Here is a 25,523-nt window from a genome sequence, read left to right as displayed (position 1 = left end):
TTTTATAACAGTGAGCTCGGCCTTCTCTTGATCTCATTCTTACTCCCTTTTGCCCTTCTGCCTTCTGCCACTGGATGACACAGCATGAAGGCCCTTGTCAGATGCCGATGCCATGCTCTCAGACTTCCCAGCCTCCAGAACCATGGGCCGAATACATTTCTATTCACTATAAATTATCTAGTCTGTTAGTATTCATAAAATGGACGAAGACAGTCATTTAATACCCTTTTCTTCCTCAAACTAAGAACTTGTCCCCCAAATAAACCACAAAGCTCTAATCTCTCCCTCCTCAGGAGCACCAAGATGAGGCAAAACTGCGTCTGCCATTGATGTGCAACTATCCCCCTCTCTCCATCCCTCTCTACACATACACAGGGCACCAAGTCTTACTGAAAAAAAATAACTCATCCAGACACAGAAACTGAGAGCACCTCCTTGCCTTCTTTCCTGGAGAGCAGGCTAGGTATTTCCATCTGAGAAAATACACAAATGTCAAGAAAGAACCAAGCACTGACAGCAGCAAACACAATGAGAGTGACTATTTACATAGTTCCATCAGGCATTAAGATGGTATTAATTTTCCATCTACTTCTGGGTTTTAAATGCCTAACCCCTGTCCTCTGTCTCCACCTTATATAGCCGGAGATTTTCACTGTGTCTAAATCTTATTTGCATCTGCCACCCTTTATTTCAAATCACTGAGACCTGGGGCCACTCACATCCTCATAGCTTTGCTCTGTGTGCCACAAGCATGATGCAGCCTTTCCCTAGCCAAGCCCTGGCAAAGAAGCAGCACACAAGCACCCCAAGAGAAAATAAATTCTCTCCAGGCTGCAGGATAGGTGCCAGATTCCTAAGTTTATCAGCAAAGCCCAGGTGTCCTCTTTGCTGCCTGGCCAGTTGACAAAAGCAAAGAAGAGTGTTAGCCATGGTTCACAATCATCCAAGAGGCTTTGGAAAGAAGAACTGGTACTGCAGTTGTCTGATTGTCTACACCTAACACGTAGATAAGGTTCTGCTGTCACTGCTCTTCAGAGGAAGGAGAATCAAGTGATCCAAGCCACTTGGCGTACTCAGAGGAATCAGGAAAAGCAAGAATAGAGAAGTCCATTCTTCTCACTGCAAGAACCCCCAGGTTCTGGGGTAGGTGGATTGAGTTCAAATCCTGACTCTACCATCTGTGTGATTTTGAGCAATGATGTAATTCCTCTGAGCATCAGTGCTCCAGCCTGTAAAATGCACATGTTAACTGCACTCACCTACTCACTGCTCAGGGTGGTTGTAGTGATTCCATTGTTAATGCAAACTAAGCTTCAGACACCAAAAGGGAGATATTCAATCACTGTCAGTCTCCCTCCTTTTCCTGGTAGTTTGTATTTATGATGACTCTAAACATCACTGATGGAATTTGAGTGCAACCACGCTAGAAATAGGTTTCACATAAACTGAGGCACCTCCTTCGTACATAGGAAACAGGAAATGATGGCATAGGAGATGAAAGAAATAGCTCTCCAGGCCTTTCAGGGGTCCTCTAGCAGGCAAACAAGGCCCTTGAAGATCTGCCTCAGTTTCCTCTTTTTTTAAAATTTTTTTTTTTTTTTATCAGGCAGCCTTCAGAATCACAGCAGATTCAGAGAGACTCCAGCTTCCTCTCAATACACTTTGGCATCCCTTGCACTTAGTGACTGGGTTCTCCTGAAGGCCAGTGCCCTTTCAGACCTCTAAGCCTTTGCATATGCTATTCCCTCTACCTAGAAAGCCCTTCCTTCTCTTCTTCACCTGGACATCCCCAACTCATTCCTGAGAACTAAGCTCAAGGGGCTGTCTCGCCTCCAGGCATCCTTCCTGGCCCCAGCAAAGCTGGGCTGGGTGTTCCTCCTCTGTGCTTTCTACTGTCCCAGTGCCCCGTGGAAACAGGATCATTACATGGCTCCTTGCTGCTCCATCGCTCCACCAGACCAGGAGCCCTGGAGTCAAAAACTGGGCTTCATTTACATATTAGCATTTCCAGTGTCTGGCACATAGAAGCCACCCAATCCATGTTTGGTTCAGTCATTCGACAAGTATTTACTGAGCAGCTGCTAGTAAAGCCTGACACACGGATATCATGGCAAACAAAAAGTCAAAATCCCTGCCATCATGAAGCTATGTCTAGGGGACAGATGATAAAAATGGAATCGAATAAGTATATTACAAGTCGAGTGCCAAGAATAAAAACTATCTTTGGCTAGAGTCACAGAAAATAATAATAACAATAATAATAATAAATAAAAAATAAAGCAGGCAAACAGGGATAGGAAATGTCTTGGGGAGAGGGGACAGCTATTTTATGCAGGATGGTGACAAAAGGCGGGAAGACAGGTGGGCATTTGCACGCAGCCTGGAAGAGGTGGGAATGGACGTGTGGACATTTGAGGGATGCACACTTCCCAGATTCACATTCCAGCTCTGTCACTTATTATCAGTGTTTTTATTTATTTATTTATTTATTTATTTATTTATTTATTTATTTATTTTTGGAGACAGAGTCTCGCTTTGTTGTCCAAGCTGGAGTGCAGTGGCACGATCTCAGTTCACTGCAACCTCCACCTCCCAGGTTCAAGCAATTCTTCTCCCTCAGCCTCCCAAGTAGCTGGGACTGCAGGCGCCCACCACCACTTCCAGCTAATGTTTGCATTTTTAGTAGAGATGGGGTTTCACCATGTTGGCCATGCTGGAACTCCTGACCTCAAGTGATCCGCCTGCCTCGGCCTCCCAAAGTGCTGGGATTACAGGTGTGAGCCACCGTGCCCGGCCCTGTGTGATTTTTAAGGACATCTCCTAACCTCTTTATGCCTCAGTTTCCTCATCTGTTAAATGGGAATAGTAATAGTACCTACTTCATAGAATTGTTGAGAGGTTTGAAATTGTGGTAAAATTTTTGAAATTGTGGTAAAATACACAAAATTTACCCTCATGACCATTTTTAAGTGTACAGTTCAATGGCATTAAGTACACTAAATTGTGCAACCATATCCATCTCCAGAATTCTTTTCATCTTGAAAAACTGAAACTCCATTAAACACTAACTCCTCAATCCCACCCCATCCCCGAGACCCTGGCAACAGCCATTCTACTTTCTGTCTCTGTGAGTTTCACTACTCTAAGTACCTCGCATAAGCAGGATCATATAATATTTGTCCTTTTGTGACTGGCTTATTTCACTTAGCATAATGTCTTCAAGGCTCGCTCATGTTGTGGCACGTTTCAGAATTTCCTTCCTTCTAAAGCTGAATAATAGTCCACTGCAGGTAGATACGGTATATTGTTTATCCACTGATCTGTCGTGGACATTTGGGTTGTTTCCCACCTTTGGGTTATTGTGAATAATGTTGCTATGAACATGGTGTACAGATATCTCTATCTTTCATTCTTTTGGGTATATACCCAGAAACGGACTTCCTTGGTCATATGGTAGTTCCATGTTTAATTTTTTGAGGAACCAATTACTATTCTCCACATTAGAGGCACCAACTTACATTTCACCAACAAGGCACAAGGGTTCCTATTTCTCCACATCCTTGACAATTGTTATTTTCTTTCTCTTCTTCTGTCCTCCTTTCTTCCTTTATTCCCTTCTTTCTCTTTCTCTCTCTCTTTCTTCCTTCCTTTGTTCTTTTTTTCTCTTTCTTCTCTTCCTTTTTTCTCTTTCTTTCTGTCCTTTTCTCTGTCTTCCTTTCTTCCTCTTTTCCTTGCTTCTTTCTTTTCCTCTCTCTTCCCTTTTCCTTCCTTCTTTCATTTTATTTATTTATTTATTTTAGAGACGGGGTCTCGCTATGTTGCCAAAGCTGGTCTAGAACTCCCCAGTTAAAGCAATCCTCCCATCTCAGCCTCTCAAAGTGCTGGGATTACAGGCATGAGCCACCAAGCCTGGCCTCTTTTTCTTTATTTCTCTCTTTCCTTCTCTTCCTCTCTTTCTTTCTTCCTTTCTGTCTTCCTCTCTTTTTCTTTTTTTGTCTCTCTCTGCCCCTCTTTTTCTCCCTCCCTCCCTTCCTTCCTCCCTTCCTTCCTTCCTTCCTTCCTTCCTTCCTTCCTTCCTTCCTTCCTTCCTTCCTTCGTAGCCATCCTAGTAGGTATGTGTTGAAAGGTTTTGGTGAGTTATTTATTTATTTATTTCCGAAACAGGGTCTCACTCTAGTGCCCGGTTGGCATGCAGTGGTGCAATCACACCTCACTGCAGCCTCAACCTCCTGGGCTCAAGCAATTCAAACTGCAGTATCACCTGAATCAGAATCACTTCAGACAATTGTGTTTAAAATGCACATTCCTGGGCCTCGGGACAATGGACTCAACAGCGGGAGCCCAGAAATTGGTATTTTTTACAGATACCTCCCGGGCCTCTTCTGTACAGAGAAGTTTGAGAAAGGATAGGCTAAAATATATTTTCTGAAGGTGCCCATCTCTCTTCCCAAAACATCTGTGGCCCTGAGAACCCCTCTGTCCCCAGGTGGGGAGGATGGAGACTTCAACACAGCCTGTGGAGGAGGCTGTGAAGGAGGAAACAGCCCAAGAACGGACATTTTGGGGCCAGGAGGGAGCCGAAGGGCTGGCGCAGTGGATGAAATGGAAACTATGTCAGAGGGTGGAAAGGGGGCCTCGGGGCAGGAGCCACGTGACAATTAGGAAGAGAAAAGTGGTTGAGAGAGAGGACATATGCAGGTGAGAGGGAGCAAAGAGCCTGTCCTGGGGAGGAACAGCTGCTGGGAGTCAGGACGAGGGCAGCCCCAGGGAGAGTGGCCTAGTGGAGCCAGGGAGACCTGCCTTCAACCCCAGCCCTACGGCAGACCAGCTGTGCAGCACTTGGTAAGTCACTGTCCTTCTCTGAACCTTTGTTTTTCCAACTCTAAAAAGGGGCAGATAATAGTGCATGTGCTTCCTACTTGGCAGAGCAGCAAATGACAGGAAGGATATGAAATTGTAAAGGGCTTTGGCAGCTGTAATTCCAGGGCTAAGGGTGGCAGAGGTGTTATTATCAGTGCCAGAGCACAGCATGGGTCTGGAGAAACCAGAGGCCAGGAGGCCACACAGCACGTGCTCAGGAATACAGACTGCAGCCAGACACCTCTCACTTTTTTTTTTTTTAAAACAAGGTCTCACTCTGTCGCCCAGGCTAGAGTGTAGTGGTGCAATCATGGCTTACCACAACCTCTGCCTCCTGGGATCAAACGTTCCTCCTGCCTCAGCCTCCCAAGTAGCTGGGACTATAGGCATGTGCCACCATGCCCAGCTGATTTTTGTATTTTTAGTAGAGATGGGGTTTCTGTTTCTCACCCAGGCTGCTCTCAGACTCCTGGACTCGAGCGATCCACCTGCCTAGGCCTCCCAAAGTGCTGGAATTACAGGCATGAGCCACTGTCCCCAGCCTCCCCAACTCCGTGTGGGCTGTGTATAGTGACTTCCTTCCAAAGAGCACAGTATGAAAATGGGGAGAAAAGAGTAACTTTATAGTAGAGAAACCTGACAAACATTACATCAGCCAGGTGATCAGGGTTAACAGCAGGCAGGTGATCAGCGTTAACATCAGCCAGGTGATCAGAGTTAACAGCAGCAGGGATAAACCATGTTGGGGGTGTGTACGCTTCATATACTGTGGTGTGGTGAGAGGGGGACTTTCCCTCTGGGATCTCCCTCCTAAAAACCCATAACCCCAGTCGAATCATAAGAAAAATCTCAGACAAATCGTAACTGAGGTCATTCTACAAAATACCTGGCTAGTACTCCCCACAACTGTCCAAAAACCAAGGAAAGTCTGATACATTTTCACAGCCAAGAGGAACCTACAGAGCCGTGATGACTATGTGGTATTCCAGATGGGCTCCTGGGGCAGGAAAGAGACATTTAGGTAAAAATTAAGGAAATCTGGCCGGGCACAGTGGCTCACGCCTATAATCCCAGCACTTTGGGAGGCCAAGGTTCCCTGAGGTCAGGAGTTTGAGACCAGCCTTGCCAACATAGCAAAACCCTGTCTCTAGGAAAATACAAAAATTAGCCAGACGTGTTGGTAAGCGCCTGTAATCCCAGCTATGTGGGTGGCTGAGGCAGGAGAATCACTTGATCCCAGGAAGTGGAGGCTGCAGTGGGCCGAGATTGAGTCACTGTGCTCTAACCTGGGTGACAGAGCAAGACTCTGTCTCAAACAAACAAAAACAAAACAGCAACAAAAAAACTAAGGAAATCTGAGTAAAGTATGGGATTTAGTTAATAACATTATAATTAATAATACTGGTTCATGAATTGTGACAAACATACCTTGCTAATGTCATATGTTAACTACAAGAATCTGGGTGTGGAGTACATGGAAACGACACCAGCTTCACAACTTTTCTGTAAATCTCAAACTATTCTAAAGTTAAAAGGTTGGTTTTTTTTTTTTTTTTAAGTACATTTCATTTTAGGAAAAGAAAAAAGGAATGGCATTTAACACTCAGCTTGGAAGAGCCTTGAGCAGAAGCAGTAAAATGAGGCTCTTCTCCCCAGCTGTTTCCCTCCAGGCGCATTTCTGGCATTCCCCTGGTTGGAAAAGAGAGTGAGAAAGTGAGGCTTGAGGCCAGGGTGTGTGAGTGGGAACAGCACAGGGAAAACGAAGCTCTCTGAGTTTCATTTCATCATCTGCAAAATGGAAACAATGAGGGTATCTAGGATTCAATGTGGTCACGTAAGTACACCACATAGCACACTTCCTGGCACATGAGTGACAGCTTGTAGCTAACATTCCCCTCTCCCAGAAGGCCAGGAGATTGGGCAGGTTCAGGACCTCGGCAGCAATAATGAAGTTGCCATGTTGTGGTCCTGCTCAGGGCATGTGGATGCCACGGGGCCAGTAGAGCCAGGAGAGCTTCAAGGGAGAGCTCTTAAAGTTTGGTCACCCCTATGGAGCAGGCTTCCAGTCCTCTCTGCCACCTCCTCATTGTGGGACAGTCCCACTGCCTTGCCTCTCTAGAGCATGATTTTCTTCTCTGTAGAAGTGAGACATTTGGACTATGGAGGAGTTGGTAAGGGGAGGGCAGGGTTTGGGGACAGACAGAGCTGAACTCCAATCCCTGCTCTTCCACCAGCAGTGGGACCCTGAACAAGCCTCAGTTTCCTCCTTAGTGAAAAGAGGATGTTAATACCAAGTTCGCAGAGTTTCTCAGGAGAATTCAAGCAGACGGTGTTGCAGTGCCTTGCCCAGAGTAGGTCCTCAAAAACTGTCAGTAACCTTCCCTCTTAAGGATTTCCTAGCTCTCGAGTCCTCAAATACTGAACAGTAAGTTTCCTACCCACCAGACTGGCCAAAAGTTACACATTTTGGCAACACTAAATGTCTGGTAAGCAGGCAGGGCCACAGGAACTGTTCCACAACACTAGTGAGAGTTTATGTTGGTATTGATCACTGTGGAGTCCAGTTTGGCAACATATAGTAAGGCTGGATATTTGCAGATCCCTTGACCTAGGAATTCCACTCCTAGATACACCCTCTAGACGCATTATAGCAAGAAGACAAGCAGACTGGTAGGAAAGTGTTAATTGAAGTAACAGCACAAACTTGCAACATCCTAAATGCCCACAGCATAAAAATGAATACATAACTGGTGGTGTATTAACCTGGTGGAATACTCTAGACTTCAGACTTGAACTGACTGAACTGCAGCTCTCTGTATGAAAACAGGCAAATCCCCAAAGCATAACATTGAACAACAAAAAGGGTAAGTTGGCCAGGCATGGTGGCTCACACCTGTAATCCCAGCACTTTGGGAGGCCAAGGTGGGCAGATCACCTGAGGTTGAGTTCGAGACCAGCCTGGCCAACATGGTGAAACCCTGTCTCTACTAAAAATACAAAAACAAATTATGTATGGCATGGTGGCAGGTGCCTGTAATCCCAGCTACCTGGGAGGCTGAGGCAGGAGAATCGCTTCAACCTGGGAGGCGGAGGTTGCAGTGAGCTGAGACCAGGCCATTGCACTCCAGCCTGGGCAACAAGAATGAAACTCCATCCCCCCCGCAAAAAAAGAAAGGGTTAGTTGCAGAAGGCTGTCTGTATAAGGACATAATCATTTGTAATTTATATGTATACATATTATATATTATTATATAATAACAGCTTTATATTATACATTAGGCATGAACTTTAAGAATACATACAGTAATATAGCTATTTATGGAGAGAGTATTTGTAGTAATAAAATAAAAACATGCCTGGAAATCATAGCCAAGTTCAGAGGGAGGGAAGAAAGAGAAAGAATTGGGGAGGGATACACAGGGGACTTCGACTGTGTCTATAACAGTTTCTACTTTTAGAAAATAAAATCTGAAGAAAATATGGCAAAGTGCTAAAATGTCCTAAACCTAGGTATCAGGTACATGGTGCTCACTACATTACTGGCTGAGCTTTTCTGCTTGCTAAAGTCATGCACCAATTTTCAAGGTCTCTAATATTTGATGAATTTCATGCCGGGACCCTTGGGCGCAATATTTTAAACCACCCTTTAATTAACGAACTTGGCTTGCTTGGCTGTAAACACTTTCCACCTACTCTCAAATCCTGCCCTGCCCATCTGTAGGAAACACTCTTGGGGCTCTCACCCCACTTCCCTGAAATCTTGGAGAGTCCCCTCGGTCCTCGCCCCACTTTTCTGGAATGTTGGAGAGTCCACTGTGGTTCCATTGAGTGTCTGTTTCCGTTTGTTTTAGGAGTCATCTGACACCCAGCCCACCCCAGGAACATTTTGCATACTTCTCCCTCACCCCTGGAGAGGTTTTGAGTGCTGTCACTGGACCAGAGAAAACATTGTTTTTCTCACCAGGTGACTCTTCTCAGTCACAGGTACCAGGAAGCCTGAGGACACTTGCCAGAATCAAAGGCTTTCCAGAAAGGTCATTGTTAGCAGGCCACGCCCAAAAGGGGAGACACTGTGTCCATCAGCTGGGGGTCTGCTGGGGCCCCTGCCTCATCTGCACCCTCAGGAGGTTTCTGGGGGCTGCTGCCTGCCTTTTTCAATAGCAAAAACCAACTCCAGCATTTTAAGAACTGTACAAGTGGGGGCAGAGAGCAATCATCCCTCCAAGTTATTTCTCCAAATCCACACTAAAAAAGCACTTAAGGAAATATCTAATAGCTTGGTCTTTGGTCCTGATCAGAAAAAACAAAATCATCTTTCATTTTTCTATATCAGAGGTCCCCCCCGCCCATGCCCACACGCATGCAGTTCTCCTCTGCCTCCTCCAACTCTTTCTAAACATGAAATGAGAACTCATTATCTCCATGTGGAATTCTGGGAAGAATCAATGGAAAGGTAGGACGGCAGGCAGGTGGCTGAGTCTGTCTTGGTCTTGCCACCTCTCAACACTGGACTCCACTCACCATTCCAGAGGGCACCTTTGCAAGGGTGTTCCCCCTCCTAGATTTCCACACTGAACACCAACAGGGGCTACTCTAAGTGCTGGCCCGATGGCAGCAAGTCAGGCAAAGAACTCTTTGCCCTGACAGTGCTTACCCTCTAGTGAGGAGAGAGATGATTTAATAAGCAAACAAATAATCACATCATATAATTGCAGGGAGAGACGCGTGCTAGGCAGAAAAGCAAAGTGGGAGAATGAGAGAAAGAGGGCCTGGGCAAGGAGGCTAATACCTCGTCTGTAGGATGAGGAGGCCTCTCTAATGAGGCAGTTTTGAGCACAGGGGACATCTCAGCACAGGGAGGTTAGGCATGTCTTAAGAAGAGGGACCTAAGAGGAGGCTATGGGAGGTGCAGGTGGCAATTCAGCCAGGGGCAGACTATGTCACACACCGTGCTGTGAGAGCGAGGCCATGGCTGCCATTTACAGAAGAAGAAACAGATGGTCTAGGTGGTTATCGGGTTCACCAAGACCACACTGCCAGTTTGTGCTAGCTGAGCCGGGTCATCTGACTCTGAGAGCTATGCTTTGAGTTACTCCCTGCCATCTCTCACTCCAGGACACATACAGGTCCATGTCCCTTACGCACAACCCAGCGCTGGCCGTGGGCTGGAATCCAGGATACTCACATTTCAGAAGGTTCATAGAGTGCAGGCACAGAGTCATCTTCGACACTCCTGGGAGATCTGGAATACAGAGCACACCACAATTAAACATATTCATATTTATGCGGCAAACATAACGATCTTTACACTCAGTATGCTAAATAAATAATAGCTCAGGACAGGTGGGCTTTTGCCACCAAATGCACGGCACATGCCAAATTAGTTACTAAAACAAAATAACAACTTTTGGTTTCCAGAGCCTCCTGGATTTCCACTAAAAGCACTGGGGACACCATTTTAAATTCTGAAAATGACGGCTCTGTGAAGACAGAAGATGGCAGAGCCAACTGGAAACCAGATCACGCACATTTATATCTTGGCACGGCCCAGACTATGGGAAAAGCCACCAAGGGGATGGAACGCTGAGATGCAAACTTCCTCCTTGGCAAAGGAGACAACAGCAGCTCCAGAGCTGTTGGCAACACGCAATCAAAAGATGACATGGAAGTCCAAGTCCAACAGCCAAGTTAGAAGGGCAACTAGTTAGAAAGGTGGAAGCCCAGCTCTCAAATGAAGCTACCACATTTCATTTCAGCTCTTTGTCTTGTACTCTTGCTAGACCTGGGTTGGGTTTGAAAACATGGCCAGAGGCAGAGAAGTTATAGGTGGGAAAGATAGAAAAGCATCTTAATTTAAACTAAAAAAAAAAAAAAAAATCACCTTGGCCAGGCATGGTGGTTTACGCCTGTAATCCCAACACTTTGGGAGGCCGAGGTGGGCGAATCACTTGAGGTCAGGAATTCGAGACCAGCCTGGCCAACAAGGTGAAACCCCATCTCTACTAAAAATACAAACATTAGCCGGGCATGGTGGCGCGTGCCTGTAATCCCAGGTACTCGGGAGGCTGAGGCAGGAGAATCGCTTGAACCTGGGAGGTGGAGGTTGCAGTGAACCGAGATTGCACGATTGCACTCCAGCCTGGGTGACAGAGTGAGTCTCCAAAAAAAAAAAAAAAAAAAAAAAAAACCACCTTATCATCCGAGTAGTGTTGTACTGCCCCTCCTTGGAGTCTGAGTTAATTTGCATTTTTCAGAAGTGCTGCATTTCTCCAACGCTTCTGAGAAACGCAAACCAGTTCGGAGACTCCTGCCTGGGCTCCCCTTCTTCACTCTGCCTTAACCCTTTCTCCTGTGCCTCTTGGAAGAGCCAGAAACTGAGGGCAATTCTGGCCCGATGGTGGCACTGTGGATGGGGAGTGGGACATGAAATCTAGGAAATATTTCAAAAGTATAATCCAGACTGGATACAGTGGATAAGCAAGAGAAAGGAGAAAGTGAGCCTTAAGCTTAAAACCCGGGCATCTGAACTGCGGTCTATCTTAACCAAATGCCAGAAAATTAACACATCAGCATTAACCCTCTTCAGATGACCCCCTGGAACCTCGTGCCGATGGTCATTTCCACCTGTTACACACTGCGATGTTCAGGGCCTGGGCCTGCTCTGCCTGTGTTTCAATTCTGTCTCACTGATGGAACTGTGTGGGGTTTCTTGGTGGTGTTGTGTTTTTTCTCTTTAACATTTTTTTAAAATTTGGGTCACATCTATTATATAAACTTGCCGTTTTAGGCATTTTTAAGTATGCTATTCAGTGGCATTAATTACATTCACAATGTTGTACACGTCATGTTCCTTATTTAACTTCAGAAAGCCTAGTCCTCTCATCTGTTATGTGGGGGTAACAATAGCACCCACTTTTGAGAGAAACTGCAGGATTATCCGGGATAATCCAAGTGAAATGGCACAGTGCCAGCGTATAACTGACCCTCAACAAGTATTAGCTATTTTGTTGTTTTTGTTTTTGTTTGAGACGGATTCTCACTCTGTCGCCCAGGCTGGAGTGCAGTGGCACAATCTCGGCTCACTGCAACCTCCGTTTCCCGGGTACAAGCAAGTCTCATGCCTCAGCCTCCTGAGTAGCTGGAATTACAGGCATGCACCACCACGCCCGGCTAGTTTTTGTATTTTTAGTAGAGATTGGGTTTCACCATGTTGGTCAGGCTGGTCTCGAACTCCTGACCTCAAGTGATCCACCCGCCTTGGCCTCCCAAAGTGCTGGGATTACAGGCGTGAGCCACCACACCCAGCCAATATTTGCTGTTTTATGCTTTATTCCACTTCCTCCTGTGTGCTCCCAGTTACACTGGCCATCTTGGTGCCCTCATCACCTCCTGCTGATGAACACCTCCCCCGCCCCCTCCACAGTGACCACAGGCTCACCCTCCTAATGGGTAAATCAGATCCAGTCCAGTTTCTGGCTCACAATCCCTCCCGCCTACTCATCATCCTCAGTGGACGTAGCCCTCTCACTTGAACGTACACCCACATCACCTGAAGGGTAGAATCACCTGGAGAGCGTGCTTACCACACATGGCTTGCTGAGCAGGGCCCTACACCTCTGGTCTCTGATTCAACAGGTGTGGGTGAGCCTGAGATTTTGCATTCCTAACCCCTTCTCAGGTAAGGCTGATGCCGCTGTCCAGTGACCCCACTTTGAGAGCCACTGAGCTGGAGAATGAGGTATGCAGAACCTGATTCCGTACCTCATTACTCCGTGGCCACCACCCCTCCCCATCGGGAGGCAGCTCCTGCTGGGTTATTGCAATAGGCTCCTCACCAGCTTCCCTTGTTCAGCGCTTTCTTCCCTACAGTCGATTCTTAACACAGCTGTGAGTGATTCTTTTACCACAGAACTAGGATCCTGTTCTTCCTCTCCTTAAAATGCTCCAGTGGTGGGCCAGACATGGTGGCTCATGCCTGTAATCCCAGCTCTTTGGGAGGCTGAGGTGGGAGGCTGGCTTGAGCCCAGGAGTTCAAGACCAGCCTGGGCAACAAAGCAAGACTCCATTTGTACAAAAAATAAAATAAATATAATTAGCCTGGTGTGGTGGCACACACCAGCTACTCAGGAGGCTGAGATGGGAGAATCACTTGTGTCCAGGAGGTAGAGGCTGCAGTGAGCCACGATTGTGCCACTGCACTCCAGCCTGGGAGGCAGAGCAAGACCCTGTCTCAAACACAAAAATCCTCCAGCGGTGTCCCATCTCATTTAGGATAAAACCTGCTGGCCTTACCATTTCCTCTGAGGTTTATTGATCTGGCCCCTGCACCTCTGCGCACCTTAGGGCCTTTGCTATTGCTGTCCTCTGGCCCCCCCATCCCACCACCACCCCACCCCCCACAATCCCAGATATTCACCCAGCCTCTTCTCTCACCTCACTCAGATCTCTTCTCAAATGCCCTAACCTAGATAGCAACTTCTTCCCTCTTCCTTCCTTTCTCTCTAGCTCCTTAACCTGCCTCACCTTTCTTTGTAAGCTGTGCTGTTATGTGAAATTACCTTGCTCATGTATTTGTGTACTTGATTATTGTCTATCCTTCCCTCGCCATTAGAATGTAAGACCATAAGGGCAAGGCTTGGATGTTGATCAGCGCCCACAATGATGATGGCATATCGGAGGCACACAGTGTTTGTTGAATGAATAAATGACACCCTAACTTCCTAATATGGCACATCATCTCTCCATGATCTCTGCCCACCTCTCTAGCCAGACTTCTTGTTCCTCTCCAGAGAACACCCCAACCACACTCAACCTGACTTACAAGTCGGAGGAGGTGACCCAATCATTGACACCTCCAAGCTTTTGCACACACTGTGCTTTTGTCTGAAATGCCCTTTCCTACTTTGTCAGTCTAGGGAATGACTTACCCATATTTTCAGTTGGACTTGAGCGCCACCTCCTGATGAAGCCTGCCCAGGTTCCCACAGGCAGAGCTAAGCCCAACCCCTACACCTCTCATCTCATCTAGGTGCTTGTCCATCTGTGTCCTCTCCATCCACTCAAGGGCAAGGGCAAGGTCTTCATCTTGCATCTGCGGGAGCTGGCACAGAGCCTGGTTCATGGTACATGCCCCAGGAATATTGGCTGAATAAAAGAAACAATGAGCAGAAATCAGCCAAACCCCCTGAGTTTTATTTCTCTTAATATTACCCTTAAAGTGACAGAAATGATAATGCTAATTATCTTTAAAGCAATGCCTGAATATATGAAAGAAAAGTGAAATTTTATTTTTCTTTCTTTTTTATTTTTATTTTTTAAGGCAAAGTCTCACTGACTCTGTCACCCAGGCTGGAGTGCAGTGGCATGATCTTGGTTCACTGCAACCTCCGCCTCCTGGATTCAAGTGATTCTCCTGCCCCAACCTCTGAGTAGCTGGGATTACAGGCACCTGCCACCACGCCCAACTAATTTTTATATTTTTAATAGAATTGGGGTTTCATCATGTTGGCCGGGCTGATCTTGAACTCCTGACCCCAGGTGATCCTCCCAATATGCTGGGATTACAGGCGTGAGCCACTGTGCCCGGCCTGAAAAGTGAAATTTTCTAAACTTTCCAGGATGCTCTTGAGGCTCCTGACCCCCAAGTACTCCCTCATAGCTTGTGGGAGCCCAGGCAGAAGTCCAGGGAGTGGAGCAGGCACCAGGACCCCACCAGCTTCCTAGCAGAGCTCCACCTGAGTGTCAGGCAGAGGTGGGAGTGAACCCCACGGGAGGGGAGGTTTCAGGCTGACCCAGCTGACTCTAGGATTGAGCTTTTTCCTCTAGGAGAAACACGCAACATCCTCCGCCTTGCCCTCCTCCAGGAATTGAGAAAATGTGTGGGGACACTGCTTTCTTATCACCGCGGAGTTGTCTAAGTTGAATTTTCCCAGAGAAGTTAGCAGCATTAGTATCAGTAAAATGAATGTGCTGAATGTTCAACTTTTTCTTTTTTTCTGTCTGTTTTTGGTCTTATCAGAAACTCCAAAAATAAACATTCTTTCTCAGGCTTGACCCTCACATGGCCTTGGTGTTCCCCTTCTGAAGAAATCAAACGCAACAATGGAAGGGCTTTGCACAGCCCTGGCCACATGGCTCCCCTCCAAGGCAGGCCTGTCCTCTGATGGACGTAGGCGGCCAGCCAACTTGTGATTTAAAAGTTGGCACTTCATGTAATTGCACTAAAGAGAAAAGAGATCCTGGTGGGTAGACACAGGCTCTGGATTGTTAGAAAATTACGTTTCTCATTATAAATTGTGATTTTAAAGGCAATTGTTTCACTCCTAAAAGAGGGCAAAGAGATAACAAGACTAATGGACAGATGGGCAAAGACTAGGATGATGATGGTAGTGGTGGTTATGTTGAGGAAGAAGATAATTTTTTAAAATCAAGAGAAGTAGTGTCAAGCTTAGTGCTTTTTTCAGACCTACAGATGTGAAATCAAAGTGGCAGGCACCATGGGGATCTTTGCTAAAGATAATAGAGGCCCATCTGATGCCCAGCCTAAGGTATGGCTCCCTCTAGTGGTCAGAGGAATTTCTGCATTGGCTCCTTCACTTGTAACAGACGCTCAGGCTCCAGCTTTTGATGCAAGCCAGCCAGGAGTTGAGACTTGGTCACTGGGTTTCCAGGGTGTAATTTTTCCCACTTTCACCTCCTTCCCTATCTTCCATGGCCTCTGGCTCCCAGCCCTACAATTTTCCAAGATCTCCTTCTATAGGTCCCAAACTAACATAAATAATAATATTGATTTGTCCAGTAACCTAAGGTTTACAGTTTGCTTTTGCATCAATTATCTGAATCCTATCCTTGTAAGGTAGATGTACCCATTTTATAGGCAAGCAGATTAAGTCTCAAAAAGGTAAAGTGACTTGCTCAAAATCACAAAACTAGTTAAATTTAGCACTGGGAGTTAAACTGGTATAGTCTGAGCCCAAATCATGAGCTTTTCCATTTACATTGCAGCAGCCTTCAAAAGGGGGAAATTATATGGTTGATTTGAAATACAGAGAAGTAGAAAAATGCTATGAATTTCATCATTTTCATAAACATCACACGGGGAGAAAATGTACTTAAATGAGACTTGCCTCTAATCAAATATGTGACCTTGGCCCTGAGGGGCTGATTCATGTAGGTTCAATAGTACTATAATCTACAACTTGATTGCAAGGTTAAGGTCTACTAAAACTGTTGGTGGGAGTTAGAAACTCAAATGGCCTAGGAAAAGCAATAGCCTTTCTGTGAGCCAGGCTGGGACACACTCCCTAACATATTCCTTACTTGTTCCAGCATACCTGAGCAATAGAGAGCCTCCCTGCAGGCATCTTGTCATACAAAGGGATTTTTCAGCTATGGACATCCCAGAATAACATACAGTGACTCCAGAATCATTACTTGCAGGTACCAAAAGTTTTCAGTAAAATGGTGAATCCCAAAGTTCTCCCTGGTTTACCTTTGCCTATCTCTAGCCTTCATCCTCTTCCTACTTCCCCAGGCAAGACCCTTAAATAGGCTCTTCACAAAAAAGGATTTACAAATGGCCAAGAAACATATGAAAACATGCTCAACTTCATAAGTCATACACAAATGCAAGTAAAACCACAATGTCAACCCACTGCACACCAAAGAGAATGGCTAACATGAAACAGACAGGTAATACCAAGTCTTGGCAAATAGACGGTGCAACTGAAACACTCAGACATTGCTGGTGGGAGTGTAAATGGCGCAATCACTTTGAAAAAAACTGTTGTCATACACCTTATGACCCACTCCTAGGTATATACTCAACAGAAATACTTACACATATGAACCAAAATAAAGGTACAAGAATGTCATAGCAGTTTATTCCTAATAACCTAATAATGAAAACAACCCAATACCCATCAACAGAATAGATAAGTAAATTGTGGCATATTCAGACAATGGAATATGATAAGGGAATTAGAATAAACAGATTGTTGTTACACACAACACAGATGGATCTTACAAAAATAATGTTGAGAAAGAAAGTAAACACACAAACACAAAAATACATGTACAGTGCGGATAAGTCTACTTATAGGAAGTTCAAAGCCAGATGAAAGTAAGATATGGTCAGCATAGCAGTTATCTTTTGAGTGGGGGGCATAAAGTGGGCTTCCGGGATCCTGATAATATTCTGTTTCTTGACCTGAGGGTTGATCACCTGGGTGTTTTCACTTTATGATCATTTATCAAACTATATTGTGACAATTTGCTTCCTTTTCTTAATGTATGTAATCCTTTGATAAAAAGATTTTAAAACTCTATGATTTTAATAGAAATATAGGATGAGTATTTTTAAAATCATGGTGGATTGGAAATGTATGGACAATCTGGCATATTTTCAGGTTGGCTGAGTAGCCTGGCTGATGACTAGAGTCATTGGTAGCTGGAAACAGCTATGGTACTGCAAATAGGAGTTGAAATAGGAGTCAAAACACAGTGCAGATGGCAAATAGCAGGAACAGCATGTGGCTGGCTGTTGTTGGTCCAGACCATGCCTGCACCTGCAGATATCAATCACTGTTATGAGCCTCATCCAACATAAAGGAAGACTTTCACAGACCCAAAGAAGTCTCTGCCAAAGCAGGTGCCTGCTGCCCATATTTATTCATTTGGTGTCCATCTAGCAACCTATCCAATGCACTGTTTCTCAAACTGGGGCCTGAGGATGTTCCAAATGTTCATTGATGGAAGATTCTTGGGGGCCTATGAACTGTTTCCTGTAAAGGAGGCCATAAATAACTTAAGTTTGACAGTATGGAGATTCCTCAAGAACTAAAAATAGAACAACCCAGCAATGCCACCACTGAGTATCTACCTAAAGGAAAAGAAATCATTATACCAAAAGATACCTGCACTTGTATGTTTATGCACTATTCACAATAGCAAAATCATGGAACCAACCTACATGTCCATCAGTGATTGACTGGATAAAGAAAATGTGACATACACACACACACACACACACACACACACACACACACACACACAGAATACTACACAGCCATAAAAAATGAAATCATGGCTGGGCGTGGTGGCTCACGCCTGTAATCCCAGCACTTTGGGAGGCCAAGGCAGGCAGATCATGAGGTCAGGAGATCAAGACCATCCTGGCTAACACAGTGAAACCCCGTCTCTACTAAAAATACAAAAAATTAGCCGGGCGTGGTGGCGGGCGCCTGCAGTCCCAGCTACTCGGGAGGCTGAGGGAGGAGAATGGCGTGAACCCGGGAGGCAGAGTTTGCAGTGAGCCGAGATTGCGCCACTGCACTCCAGCTTGGGCGATAGAGCCAGACTCCTTCTCAAAAAAAAAAAAAAAAAAAAAAAATGAAATCATGTCCTTTGCAGCAACTTGGTTGGGGCTGAAGGCCGTTATTCTAAGTGAAATAACTCAGAAACAGAAAATCAAATACCACACGTTCTCACTTATAAGTGGGACCTAAACAATAGGTGTGCATGGACACAAGGGTGGAAATGATAGACACTGGGGAGGGAGTGAGGTTTGAACAGTTCAAGGGTGCGATGTCTGCTATTTGATTGATGGGTACACTAGGAGTCCAATCCCCACCATCACACAATATACCCAGGTAACAATCCTTCACAGCTTCCTCCCGAAGCTAAAATAGAATGACTTTTATTTGAAAAAGAAGTTTAACAGTAAAAACATTATAATAATAACTTCAGATGGAGAAACCTTGAGCAAGAGGGCAAAACTGTGCTCTAAAAACAAGAGGTACAAAGATATCTAAGAGTCCCCTGAAAATCACAATATACTGGGTTTTTGCTTGTTTGTTTGTTTTGTTTTATGGGTTTATTTGTTTTTTTTTTTGGTTTTGTTTTGTTTTGTTTTGAGATGGAGTCTCACTCTGTCGCCCAGGCTGGAGTGCAGTGGTGCTATCCTGGCTCACTGCAACCTCCATCTCCTGGGTTCAAGTGATTCTCCAGCCTCTGCCTCCTGAGTAGCTGGGACTACAGGCACCTGCTACCACACCTGGCTAATTTTTGTATTTTTAGTAGAGACAAGGTTTCACCATTTTGGCCAGGCTGGTCTCAAACTCCTGACCTCAAGTGATCCTCCCACCTCGGCCTCCCAAAGTGCTGGGATTACAGGCGTGAGCCACCACTCCCAGCCTTCAATATACTGTTAAGTAGAAGAGCAACTTACAAAATAATATGTATTATATAATCTCAATGTTGCTAAAATATTTATAAGTACATGACAAAAACTGGACGGATACACAGCCAAATGTGTTCTCTCGAACTAATGGGATTGTGAGTGATTTTGTTCTTTGCTTTTCTGTATTTTTCACATTTTCTACCACAAATATTTATCACTTTGAAAATTAGGAAAAAATTAAATGTTAATTATGAAAGGAAGAAGACCCAGTTCTAGCTTGGAGGTGTATAAATATCACACAGCTCCTGGCTAAATGTACTTATGCCCTCACAGAAGTAATAAAAAAAGACTTAGCCATGTGCCTTCATTTCATCTCTATCACAGCTTTCCTATCTTGATCTGATCTTAGCTGCTCAGTTTTGGAGAGAGGGAAGGTAAGGGCCACTAATTCTGTACAGCACTCAGAGGAGTGCTACCTACAGGAAAGCCCTGTGCACAGAATAACCATGTCATTGCCATAGAAGCAACAGCGAACGCAGGGGTGTCTTGCAAATGCCAGCACTGTCACAAGCACGTCACATCTCTTAACTCATTCAATATTCACAACAAACTTCTGCAGCAGGTAGCATTATAATCCTTAGTGTACATACGGGGAAACTGAGGCATGGAAAAATCAAGTAACTTGCTCTAGGTCCCAGGCATTGTGTGATAGAGGAGACTCGACCCCTGGCAGTCTAGAGCCAGGGTTCTCAGCCCATTCTCTTGCCCAAAGTGGGAGCAGTGGCTGTTGACACTGCCAAGCGCTTTCTCTGTGAATGCCAGGAGCCTTCATCTGTTATGTAAAGCTTTTACATCCACTATGTCATGTAATTCTCCAAAAACCCATGAGATTCCATCCATTGGTCTTCCGCATTCACGGTTGAAGCAGCAGAGGCTTCGCGATATACCCAAAATCTCACAGGAAGTAGGAGAGAGGCCAGGCCTCACATCTGAGCAGTTGGGGTCCGCAGCAGCCCTGGCACCACAGCCTCACAGGTGGTGGGATTTCAAAAGCAAGCCTGAGGGCTACTGTGTGTGTTTGTTTGTTTGGAGACAGAGTCTTGCTGTGTCCCCCAGGCTGGAGTGCAGTGATGTGAGCTGGGCTCACTGCAACCTCCGCCTCCCAGGTTCAAGTGATTCTTGTGGCTCATCCTCCCAAGTAGCTAGAACTACAGACACCTGCCACCACACCCAGCTAATTTTTGTATTTTTAGTAGAGATGGGGTTTCAGCATGTTGGCCAGGCTGGTCTTGAACTCCTGACCTCAGGTGATCCACTCAATTTGGCCTCCCAAAGTGCTGGGATTACAGGCATGAGCCACTGCACCCGGCCCTGAGGCCTACTGTTTTTATTCAGCTTTTTTGGGGGGTGGGAGGGGAATGGACAATGAGAATCTTGTGACTATAGCTGGGAAAGGAAGTGGAAGGAAAGGGAGAGTCAAAGGTTCTCTTTAGCTCAGCCTCAAAACCCAAAGACCCATGACTGCTTAGCCTTGTGACAAACCCCTGCAGAGTTCCAGCAGGCCTGAGAATGCAAAGCATGAGACATTTCCTCTAAAAGCTGGACAGAAAATATTAGGCACTGTGATCAATGCAGCAATACTGAGATACTCCGCTGGAGTGAGACTCCATTGTCATCACTAATGGCAATGTGGTATTAAAAAGGACACTCAGGTTGTTCGGATGCCTAGGGATCCCGCAGAACCTCTCACCAGTCGTGTGACGTCGGGCAAGTCAGTTTTCCACTCAGCCTCAGTTTACTCAGCTGTGAAATGGTGATCATAGTATTGAAGCAAGGCGTCAAGACGGTGTTCACAAAGTGCCTGGCACTGTGACTGTCACAGGAGACACAGTCCCAAAATAGTGTCAGCAGCAGCACAATGATGGCATAATGAAGGCTGCAGTGTCTGCACACAGTTGGTGCTGGTAAGTCTTAATGACCCAGAAGAGCCTGAGGCACATGAAAGCAAGATGCAGGCTGACATAGAAATACTGCGACTTGGGAGGGTGAGCTTGACAGTCATATCATGGCTAGAGGCAGAGACTTGGGTTTAAATGATGAGCCACAACCAGCCCGATGGGATTACCCCCTGGGGAGTTTTCTCTCCCATCTTGCTGGGCCTCTCAGGGTCTCGTTGAAAACCCTGTGTCCGGCTTCTCTGACACCCATGCTCCAGGCTTCCTCCTCCCTCCCCAGCTGCCCCTTCTGGGTTTTCTCTCCAGGGCTCATTCCTTTTCCAGAGTCCTGCACCTGGGAGGCCTATGGTCAGTTCCACAAAGGCCCTGTGTTCTCTTACTACTCTCTGCTCTCTCGTCAGGAGACCTCATCACATTCAGGCTGATTTCCAAATTTAGATCCCAATTTAGATCCGTCTTATTGTGCCCCCATAGAGCAGACGCCTACCCTTGGATATATCAAAGCCACCTCCAATTCAATGTGTCCACATTCAAGCTGGATATTTTTCTGTCCCCATCCCCACTACTAAACAAAACAAATCTCTGTCCACTATCCTGCCAACCTCTCCCAACCTGTGAGCCATAGAAATCTCTCTCCCCCAACCTCCTTACCCAATCCCCTGTTCAATTCTGCTCCCTCCTTCACCTGAGACCAAGCCACCATCTGTTGGCTAGACTCTTACAATAGCTTCTAACGGGTGTCTCCATATCTGCTCATGACTCTCCCAATTTAGTCTTCACAGCAGGCCCAGAGGTCTCTAGAGAATGCTGATCTGATCATCTCTCTGCTCCTCATAAACTGCTTCAATAGCTTTCTAATGCCCTTAAAGGAAAATACAGGCCAGGCATGGTGGCTCACACTGGTAATCCCACCACTTTGGGAGGCCGAGGCGGGTGGATCAACTGAGGTCGGGAGTTTAAGACCAGCCTGGCCAAAATGGCAAAACCCCACCTTTACTAAAAATGCAAAAATTAGCCAGGCACGGTGGTGTGTGCCTGTAATCCCAGCTACTCGGGAGGCTGAGGCAGGAGAATAGCTTGAGCCCAGGAGGCAGAGGTTGCGGTGAGCCGAGATCGTGCCACTGCACTCCAGCTGGGTGACAGAGCAAGACTCTGTCTCAAAAAAAAAAAAAAAGGAAAATACAAAATCCTCAACCTGGCTGCAAAGTGCTGCATGATCTAGCCCTTGCCTACCTCATCACACACCACTCTCCTCCTACACTTCTGCCTCCAACCACACAGTTCTCCTTTTAATTTCTTCAACCAGCCAGTTCCTCCCTGCTTGTTGTAATAAGGAAAAAAAGAAAAAAGTAATTGCAAGACTTCTAGTTAATTGTAATGGCAGATTAGGCATACGTATTTACCTCTACCTTGTGTAAAATCTCACTAAAATGAGGGTATGAGGATTTTTTTAAAGTACATAAATCCACAAGGCCAAATAGAACAAAGCCAAGATGTCCTAGGCAAGGCCATCCTAGAACACCCAGGCCCCAGCTAGCCAGCACCTGATAGCCAACACATGAATGAGCCCAGCTGAAATTAGACATGTGTGGGCCAGGTCACAAGCCACCCAACCTACCTATAGACTTAAGAAATAATAAGCAGTTCTTGTTTGGACCCACTAAGGCTTGGAGCTGTTTGTTACACAGCAATAGCTAACTGATAAAGGACTTTCCCAACAATAATGGTCCAGCCAGATTATGCTACAGTGAGGCCCAAAGACAACAAGCCTCTTTGCATGCAAAGAATATCCCAGTCAGATTCGTTGTACTTGCCTCTTAAAAATGAGCAAATATCACTAGATATCTGAAGTAAATTTCTTACATGAAAAGCAAAACAACTTGGAGGAACCTGGCGATGAATGAAAATAAAAACTAAACACAGCACACACACAAACCAATCCCCCGTATTTTTAGGAATATGAGACAAGATATTGTATCCATGAAACAAGAACAAGATCTACAAGAAGGAAGAGGAAAATAGTAATGGTAATCAAGGAACAAGGAAAAGCTAGAAAATTAAAATATGCTAGAACAAATGAAAATTAAAGGGTTAGAAGATAAAAGGTGAGGAAATCTTTCAGAAAATATAATGAAAAGGCAAATAGAGCAAAAATAGGAGAGAAAAGATTATTTAAAAAGACAATCAGTTCACACAAATTCCAAAGAGCAGAGAAAACAAAGAAGAAAATAATAATAATAATAAAAAATCTCCAGAACTGAAGGGCATAAGTTCCAGTAGGAAAGTGAAGCTGTCCTGTTTTGGCTCCTAGAGTCACTTTTTTCTTTTTGTTTTTGAGATTGAGTTTTGCTCTTGTTGCCCAGGCTGGAGTACAATGGTGCAATCTTTACTCACTACAACCTCTGCCTCGAGTTCAAGCGATTCTCCTGCCTCAGCCTCTCAGTAGCTGGGATTACAGGCACCCACTACCATGCCCAGCTAATTTTTTGTATTTTTCGTAGAGATGGTGTTTCACCATATTGGCCAGGCTGGTCTCGAACTTTTGGCCTCATATGATCCACCTGCCTCAGCCTCCCAAACTGCTGGGATGACAGGCGTGAGCCACCGTGCCCAGCCTCCTAGAGTCACTTTTTAAATTTTCAGATATTTTGCAACTAAGTCATTAAATACAGCTACTATTAAAAAATTACATTCCAGGGCCAGGTGCAGTGGCTTATGCCAGGCAAAAGCATTTAGTGAGCACTTATTGTTTTTTCTCTGGCCACTGTGAACCAAGGTGAGCACCAAGTGTTTGCCAAAGTGGCGTGACCGCATTGTCCCATGCATCACCCATATGGGTGCCAGCCAGGTGCAAGGGTCTTCAAACTGATGGCAGCATGACGCTTCCTGGCAGGAAAGACACCAGGGGGCAGAGAGAGGTGCAGTGCACATGGCTGCTGGTTAGTGCTTGGCACCATCTATTGTGCCCATGGCCATTCCCCAACACTCTGCCTTACAGCTGCCACTAGACAGCAAAGGGACTTCATCCAAAACACTCCTTCAGAACTGTGCCTGCCAGTGAGCCCTTCCCCTTGCAAACAGCCACCTTGGGAGGCCACACACTTACACCAGCCAATATTACTGTTTTTCCAAAAGTTGGGGAAAGACATCCTTGGCAGCTGCCAATGACCCCTGGGGAATATTCTCTTGAATACACTCCATGGAGAAAATTGTTCATCCTTTGAGAGTTTGGAGGCGATGCAAAGCGAGAGCTGATGGCAGAGATGATAGTTCAAGATGGAAACTTGCTTTGACCAGAAAAACTTAACCAAAGCAATGGGATGTGAGGATGCCTATGTGGAGCTAACTAGGTAAGCAAGTGAGAGCATCAGCTGAGTTCCTGAATGTGAATCTGGGCCAGCACATGTTACACAAACATGATCTCATTATCTCATTATCATCTCATTTCGCTCTCACCTGGATGCTACACAGGGTAGGATCACTGTCGCCATCTCACAGATGAGGAAAATCAGACTCGGAAACATTAAGCAGCCTGGTTAAGGTCTCACAGCTGCTAAGTGGCCCCAGAACCTGCTGCGTCTGTCTCCAGAGCTTTTGGTTGGGGCTGGGGTGTGGGGTAGAGCAGTAGCCTTAGAGCGGGGAGGTGGCATGCACTGGCCAAGGGACTGGCCCAGAGGAGGGAAGGGAGGGAGCAAGCGCTGCAGGGAAGGCTGGGCACCCACACGTGCTAGATTGACTTGGGAAGCCTAGGGAAGCAATGAGAAAAACAGAAGCACTTCAGTCTGTGGGCTGCAAAAGCTCTGCTGCTTTTTGCAGGGACCCCAATTAGCAAATCACCATAAAAGGATTTGGTTTTCTTGCTTTTGAGTATTTTGGGGTGCCTTGACCAGGCTGTTTCCAAGTAGAGGGCTGAAGAGCCACTTCATTAACAGCAAAGAATGCACTGAAATTAGATTTTTGTACTTAAGAGGTGATGGGTTTGTGTCACACGGTGCTCTGCAGGTCCTGGAAAGTTTTGCTCTTGACATTAAATATTGCTCGTCCCTGAAAACTTTTCGCACAGTACATCTGATTAGCAAATCCTTTTTTATTTTTTCAAAAATAAATCAAAACTTCCCTATGTAAAATGAATCGGATCTGAATTAGTGCGATTTGGCCCAAGATAGACGTTGGCTTCAACCTGCACTCTCTGAGTCCCCACACTGCCCAGAAGGCCCTGGCCATGCCCAGATGGAGGAAATACAGCCCCTGTCTGCCCTGGAGGTGCATCTCGGTGCAGCTAGGAGGCCCTCGGTACTTGGTGACAAATAATCTACCATTCTAAGTAAAAGCTTGAGAACTGCAGGCGGATCAGGCGTCTGCCCAAAGCCACAGTGTCAGGGAAGTTTCCTTGTTTATCAGTGCCAAGGTCAGCCCAGGAATGGCTGTCATTCACAGGGCCCAGCTTAAAATGAAAATGCAGGGCCTCTTGTTTAGAATTTCAAGACGGTGACAGCAGAGTGATACTGAGTATACACTGAGTATACAAA

At 45.7% G+C, this 25,523-nt stretch overlaps 1 long non-coding RNA gene across 2 annotated transcripts in view, besides 2 other annotated features; it reads right to left on the bottom strand.

The window, feature by feature from the left end:
• The window catches only part of LOC105374536 (uncharacterized), a 44,163-nt gene that overhangs the window by 13,094 nt on the left and 5,546 nt on the right, over positions 1-25,523 (bottom strand). The window contains exons 2-3 of one of the 2 annotated variants that reach the window (XR_925494.3): positions 13,788-14,004; positions 10,046-10,102 (exon numbers count right to left, since the gene is read on the bottom strand). This is a non-coding gene — a long non-coding RNA (uncharacterized LOC105374536). Of the gene's footprint in view, positions 1-9,297; positions 10,103-13,787; positions 14,005-25,523 lie in introns of those variants that run through there. The other variant, XR_007058090.1, reaches the window with a different exon arrangement.
• Positions 4,398-5,215: an enhancer, noted in NCBI's record as "H3K27ac hESC enhancer chr4:25451941-25452758 (GRCh37/hg19 assembly coordinates)". NCBI's record gives its function as "activates a minimal SCP1, AML or CMV promoter by ChIP-STARR-seq in primed H9 embryonic stem cells {active_cell/tissue: H9 hESC(primed)}" and the evidence as "EXISTENCE:reporter gene assay evidence [ECO:0000049][PMID:30033119]".
• Positions 13,744-13,853: a silencer, noted in NCBI's record as "silent region_15325". NCBI's record gives its function as "represses an Ori minimal core promoter by ATAC-STARR-seq in GM12878 lymphoblastoid cells {active_cell/tissue: GM12878}" and the evidence as "EXISTENCE:reporter gene assay evidence [ECO:0000049][PMID:35858748]".

The sequence above is a fragment of the Homo sapiens genome, chromosome 4 (genome assembly GCF_000001405.40).
Source record: "Homo sapiens chromosome 4, GRCh38.p14 Primary Assembly".
Classification (NCBI taxonomy): Eukaryota; Metazoa; Chordata; class Mammalia; order Primates; family Hominidae; genus Homo; species Homo sapiens.
The sequence above is the reverse complement of the archived record's forward strand: the minus strand, read 5'-3'. Positions and strand labels throughout refer to the sequence as shown.